Here is a 6,935-nt window from a genome sequence, read left to right on the forward strand (position 1 = left end):
TTTGAATTTTAACCAATCACACACCTCTAGGCTACATAATGGAAAAATGAACTCATTAAAGGGATGCGAAGATGCCTTTAAGGAAAGCTGGAGTGTCGGTTGGGTATATTACTACTGCCTCTGGGAGGAAGCCACCCTCCTCTCCACCCCTACCAAGCCTAATAACCAGTCCCAGAACAGGGGAGTCAAGGCTGCCCTCTCACCTGTGGATGTAGTTCAGGGGTCAAACCAGGAGAGGAAATGGAAGTGAGAATCAAGGGCATCCAAGTGAAACAGAGAAAGGAAAAACCACTCGATGGATCCCTGAGAGTGCTGGTCCAGCCTCCGTCCTCACCTGCTGGAATCCCACCTGCCTTTCGAGGCCCAGCTCCATCTGCCATTCTGGAAGCCTCCCACAGCTGCCAACTTCAACGGTGATCTCTTGACCCCCTTACAGCACACTTGGCCATTATGGGCCCTCGGATGCTGCCCAGGTATCATGGCAGCAGCACTCCCTGGGTCATAAGTGGCCTCTGCCACATGCATCTTTCACTCCATCCCCAGCCCCAGAGAAGACAAGCATCTCACCTCTTCCCCCTCAGCACCTTGCCAGAGGTGCTCAGAAAACAATTCATGAGTGATTACACAGCTAGTTAGGTACAATTCTGCAGGCCATTTGTCTAAACTCAGTCCCAGGCTGTTGAAGTTACTCCAACCTGGATACTGGATACCCCTAATTCTCCTAAAGTTTCCAGCTGGGTCCTGAAAGCTACAAGATACCTATCTTTCTCAAACATATTGTCCCCAGGCTGGGTCACCCAGTGGAAAGGCCAAAAACATGCTTAGGGCAATAGCAAGATAGGGAGCCCAACACTTTTTTTATGTGATGATTTACATAGGCATCATGAGAAAAACGCCTTCTTAAACATATGGCTTAGTGTCGGATCTGCTTTTAGTCGCACATGGGTGACCGAGGTGGGATGTGCCAGGTCTTTTCATGCTTGGGGCTCCTACTCTGCTGGCACCGACCCACGCCGTCTAAGATTGTGGCTTTTAAAGGTTCTGTGGCTTTTAAAGCACTTCCTGTGCAGGTCTGCTCCGCAGCTCCAGGCGCTACACCTTCTCAACCCACAGGTCAGGGAATAGAGGCCCAGAGAGGGTCAGGGATCCTAGTCCGGGGTTGGTGAGCCCCCTGGGTAGGGGATTTATTCAAGGGCTGGGGCAGATGCTGTGGATGAGGCTTCCCCACTCCCTGCTGTGCAAGGAGATCCTGTTGTTGGCATTGCCAGCACACCGCCAGCACTTGATCCTCTGGCTCAGAGCCCATTTACCTGAGCAACTTGCCGCAGTGCTCTGAGGTTCCATTTCCTCCATTACAAAACATAGCTAATAGTATCATATCTCTCTGGCCTAATACCAGAACTTTAATTAGGCTTAAATGAAACATAGGAGAAAACAACTCAACCAGGACCTAGCATGCTCCTTCAGGTTTTTGTTAAGGTTGGGGCCCTGGGGGACAGGAGGCCCCATCCTGGAGCAGGAACAGGAAAGTGTGACCGACTCTCCTTGACACCCTGAGTGGCAGATCCAGAGCGCTGTCACCAGGAACAAGGGGAAGCTCACCAGCGGGAGCCTCCCAGCCCTCCGCTGCAGTGTCTTCCGGGCTGCTAATGGGTTTCACGTGTGCAGAGGCCAATGCCTCAGTCCTGGGGATGGGGTCTGGGACAGCTCCTGTGGCTGTCTCCTCAGCCGTGAGCAGCCGCATCCTTTTACAAATAATGAATGCCGTTTTCCATAGCTGCCACGATGCAAGAAAAACTGAAAAAACAACCCGGGTGAGAGGACAGTCTGTGCTGCTGGGCAGAGGCCAAAACCTGAAAACAAAGCAGAAACTCAGACCACAGGTTGGCATTCTGTGAGATTCAGAGGACCTGGGTTGAGGAAGGAGTGTCTCCATGGTCACAGCACAAACGTCACTTAGGAAAATTTACACTCCTCTTCCCACCCAGGGGCCTCATTAAACCACCCACCGAGACATCCCCAAAATATGATTTGAAATGAGCAAAGGATAGTTTCTTATTTTTACGCACATTGTTATAAATGTAGCATCTTTTTTTAAAATGTGCTGTTTTATTGCTGTGTTACAGGGATTTGCAAACTTTTCCTGTAAAGGACCTGATTGTAAGTATTTTAGACCTTTGCGATCACACATACAGCCTCTGTTTCAACTACTCCGCTCTGCCGCTACAATGCGAAAGAAGTCTTAGGCAATAGAAAGGGCATAGAAGCGTTCCAACAATACCTCATTTACGAAAACAGGTAGGGGGACAGATTTATCCCACTGGCCAGTTTGTCACCCTCATGCTCTGTGATATGCCTTCTAAATAAAACCATTGTGTTTGTGCTGCAAATACAATTATAGGACAATTTCTCTTTCAACCAAACTCCTGCCTTCAAGCCCCTTCTATGTAAAAACCCTGGAACCACCCTTGGTCCTGCAGAACATTCCCGATACCAGCTGAGGTTTCTGTGCACCAACTCAGGCGGCCTCCCTGGCCAGAGACAGGAGGAGCCAGGAATTCTGAGTTAGTCCTGAAGACAGCCAGAGATCAGAGAGGTCAGTGCTCTTGGCTATTCACATAGGAAGTTGGTTTTCTGTTCTTTTCCAGAGAACTGCACAGATAATACACAGATCGATGCCAAGTAAAACAAGAAGGAAAAGCTGGCTCTGTCCAGGAAAGAGCTGACAACAAACGTGTCCTGACTGGGAAACGCTTTCTGCTGCTTCCTCCCTGCTGCCCGGCAGTGAGGGGAGAGGTGGGACTGGGGCCATCGGGCCCTCACGTGCCGGGCAGGGCTGCTGTGCTCAGCAGAGGATGTCTGTACAATCTCATTTCCTTGAGATTTTCAAGAAAAGGTGAGGTTTTCACTGCTTAGAATGAGGGATAGAGACAAGATTTCTTGAAGAACAGGAAGGGCAAGACTTCTTACAGTTTTTCCCAGTGCTACTATGATAATCATCATGGCCTGATGAAGGTTAGAGTTCTAATTTATTAATAGTTTCCTAAGTGCCAGGCACTGGACTAAATGTATAATCTCCACTTTACAGAGACAGAAGCAAAGATTTGAGATAGCCTGTCTAAAATCTCACTGTAAGTGGAAGAGCTGGAGTTTGAACCCAGATAAACAGAATGCACAGGATGTGTGTGTGTCTGTGTGTTTGTGTGTGTGTGTATGTGTATGTGTGTGTGCTATGTTTGTGTGTTTCTGTGTATGTGTTTGTGTGTATGTGTATATGTGTGTGCATGTGTGTGTGTGTGTATGTGTGGGTTTGTGTGTATGTGTATGTGTGTGTTTGTGTGTCTGTGTGTTTCTGTGTGTGTGTGTGTGTGTGCATAAAGAGAGAGAGGGAGAGAAACTTTATTTTAAGGAATGGGTTTACAGGACTGTAGAGGCCAGGGTGATCTAAAGTCTGTAGGGCAGGTGGACAGGCAGGAAACCCAGGGAAGAGTTTCAGTTCAAAACTGAAGACCGTTTGCTGGAGGAATTCCATATTCCTTGGGAAATTTCAGTCTTTTTCTCTTAAGGTGTTCAACTGTTTGGATGAGGCCCACCCGTGTTATGGAGGCTAATCTGCTGTCCTTAAAGTCTACTGATTTAAATGTTGATCTCATTTAAAACACCTTCACAGAAAAATTTATAATATTTGACCTGTCCAGGCGTGGCGGCTCACGTCTGTAATCCCAGCACACTGGGAGGCTGAGGTGGGAAAATCGCTTGAGCCCAGGAGGTTGAGACCAGCCTGGGTGACATAGTGAAACCTCGTCTTTACCAAAAATACAAAAATTAGCTGGGTGTGGTGATACACGTGCCTGTGGTCCCACCTACTTGGAAGGCTGAGGTGGGAGGATCCCTGGAGCCTGGGAGGTCCAGACTGCAGTGAGCCATGATCACACCACTGCACTCCAGCCTGAGTAACATAGCAAAACCCTGTCTCAAAAAAAATTAAAATTAAAAATTAAAATTTAATGCTGTATTAAAATAATAATAATAATAGTTGACAAACTATCTGGATACCATGGCCCAGACAAGTTGACTTATAAAATTAACCATCACAGGTCCCATAGGCAGCATCTGCATCACCAATGGAGCCTGTTCAAAACACAGAAGCTGAGTGCAGTGGCAGGCACCTGTAATCCCAGCTACACAGGAAGCTGAGGCAGGACGATCACTTGAGGCCAGGAATCCAAGATCAGCCTGGGCAACATAGCAGAACCTCGTCTGGAAAAAAATTTAAGTATATGGAAGGATGTTTGTGGGTTATATGAAAAAGAAAGAAAGAAGATAGAGAAGGAAGGAAGGAAGGAAGGAAGGAAGGAAGGAAGGAAGGAAGGAAGGAAGGAACGAAGGAAAGAAGGAAGGGAGGAAGGAAAAAAGGGAGGAAGGAAGGAAGGAAAGAAGGAAGGAAGGAAAAAAAGTATAAAAGGAAGGCTTTGTCCTGGATCAGTGGCTTTCAAGTCCTCTTTTCCTCCCACCAGTGGGATCCTTTTTAGTAAGTGAAATAATTGCACACAACCCCCAAACACATAACAGATAAGAAAGAAATACTCTGGCAGCAAAGGGGAGGTGGGGTGGACAACCTTGACCAGCCTTGTCTAGGGTGTCCCTTTCCTTCCCTTGCACCTGCAGGCGGCTCCTGAACACAAGGCTGGGTAGAGCACTTGAGCACTGCTGCACAGGGGAGGAGCTGAGGTCTCTTTCAGCTCCTACGTTCTGAGCCTTCATCTAAGAGGCCTGGCCCTTCAGTGGCAGCCTGGGGAGTGGGCAAGCGTGGTCTTCACAATCGCAGTCAGCCCGTATCCCTAGTTGTCCTTCTCACCCTCTGGTTTCCTGTGCAGACAAAGAATCGAAGGGGACAGAGGGCTTTGGGACTCTGGGCTCACTCCAGGCCCACTTTTCCTTCCATTACCCTTTCCTGTGCCCTTTGAAGTGCCCTCTCATCTGTGCCCACCTGAGTAGAGCCCAAGGGAGGAGAACTGAGCCTGACTCCCAGGGGCAGGGGGTTGCTACAACAGGATGGGCAGTGAGAGGTGGGCAGCCTCCCCTAATGTGGCCTGCTAGTGCAGGATGCCCCTGCCAACACATAGGCAGGGCCAGGTGCCAGGACCTCAGCTGATCATCCCAAAGCTCGGGCCAGCAGCTGGCAGCCAGGAGGAGTGTCATAACTCTACTAAGTAATCTGGAACAGAAGCCAAGGGAGTGGCTAGCCCCTCAAATCGGGACCTGCGGGGATGTGGGGCCCTCAGACGCAGACACTGGCATGCAGGAGCACTGGGAAGGGGCCCAAGCCCAGAACTCCCGTGGAAAGCGGGGTCCGAGTTGAGCTGGGAGGGAGGGAGTGGCTGGCTGTGCTTGTCTCCATTCTCTCATTCTTTCCTTCAATAGGGGGTCAGCAGGGCACACAGCTTCCCAGCTGGAGACCAGCACTCCCAGTCTCCCTGGGGGCTGCGTGTGGCATTGTCTGAGTTCCAGCTGATGGGATCTGAGCAGAAGTAGACCAGGACAGCTCCTAGGTACCATCTCTTACAAAGGAAGGGGGCATCCTCTACTCCCCCTGTGCTTCCCATGGGCTGCAGGTGCAGATGTGAGCCACCCAGGGGATGACAGAGCATCAAGAGGGGAGGAGCTGGGGTCTTGGGATGGCCTCATGCATCCAGCCAACCTGCCAGGACCGCCCTGCCTCTGGACTGTTCTGTGAGAGAGAAATGAAAGTCTATCCTGCCTGGCTGCCCTGGTGCCCTCACTCATATACAGGACAGGAGAGAAGAACAGGCTTGAAGCTGCTCCCACATTTTTTCCAGTCCCACTAGTCGGGAACAGAAGCTAGGACTGTGACAATGCAAGATGCTGGGGAGAAGAGGGAGGCCAGGAGAGGTGCCCCTACTGGCCAGTGTCTCAGTGCCACCTTAACATTGTAGGGGTCAAGGGAAAACTTTCCCTTCGCTCTCTGAAGGTTTGCTGAAAAATCAACTGACAAAAGGCAGATCAGTAAGAGAAAAGGCAGACAAAGTTACTAACATGCACAGAGGAGAAAATCACAAAGTGATTACCCAGCCACCCAGTGGGGTACATCTTGAGGTTACAGAGACAAGAAGACTCAGAATATGACCAAAAACAAGCATTGGAGGTGCAACAGGTTATGGTGACAACACAGGTTATGGAAGGGGGAGAAGAGGAGGCCTGGCTAGCAAAGGTCACCTTGTTACATACAAGAAACCCCACAGGTAGCAGCCCTCAGAAAGCATAGATGGTGAATGTTTCTTTCAGATCTTTAAAGATGTCAGTTCTTTAAAAAAGAACCTCAGTTAATCTTTCCTAGATCCAGACAAGTGAGGGCCTCCGAGACAGCTGCGTCAATCAGATTCTCTGCAGGTGCAAATTTCCCCACAAATGACAGCCTTGCAGGGCTGCTTCTGTATGCGGGCTCTGTGAACAGCAATCTCAAAATGTGTCAAAGAAATATATTTTGGGATGAAATATTTTGATTTTCTTCAATATGCCAGTGAGACCCCTGAGAGCCCGGAGGTAAGCCTGGAATTTACAACTACCCTGGATGGCTTCTGCCCCCTCCTATTTTTGTCCGTCTTCCCTCTCCACTGGCACTCACTTGACCTCAGACTTACAAAATCTCCAAGGTGTCAGCTATTTGATTCAATGAATTAATCTGAGCCAAAGACAAAGGGCCCCAAAAAGGAAGCTCTGTCCTATTTCAAGTTTGCTACCAATGATTTAGAACTCATTGATGTTGAATATTGTCTCTTTCTTTCTGTGTATATTAAGAAAAGAACATACTTTTCTACTTCACTCTATTAATATGATATATTATAATATATGAAATCATTTTTATTCATTCTGAATTTGCTTTGTTTTCCTTGGTCTCAAGGTACTAAAAAAAG

General features: G+C 48.7%; 2 annotated features.

Annotated features, from left to right (window-relative positions):
- Nucleotides 1,652-2,152: an enhancer, noted in NCBI's record as "H3K4me1 hESC enhancer chr1:229194589-229195089 (GRCh37/hg19 assembly coordinates)". NCBI's record gives its function as "activates a minimal SCP1, AML or CMV promoter by ChIP-STARR-seq in primed H9 embryonic stem cells {active_cell/tissue: H9 hESC(primed)}" and the evidence as "EXISTENCE:reporter gene assay evidence [ECO:0000049][PMID:30033119]".
- Nucleotides 2,780-3,279: an enhancer, noted in NCBI's record as "H3K4me1 hESC enhancer chr1:229195717-229196216 (GRCh37/hg19 assembly coordinates)". NCBI's record gives its function as "activates a minimal SCP1, AML or CMV promoter by ChIP-STARR-seq in primed H9 embryonic stem cells {active_cell/tissue: H9 hESC(primed)}" and the evidence as "EXISTENCE:reporter gene assay evidence [ECO:0000049][PMID:30033119]".

Source organism: Homo sapiens, chromosome 1 (genome assembly GCF_000001405.40).
Source record: "Homo sapiens chromosome 1, GRCh38.p14 Primary Assembly".
NCBI classification, from domain to species: domain Eukaryota; kingdom Metazoa; phylum Chordata; class Mammalia; order Primates; family Hominidae; genus Homo; species Homo sapiens.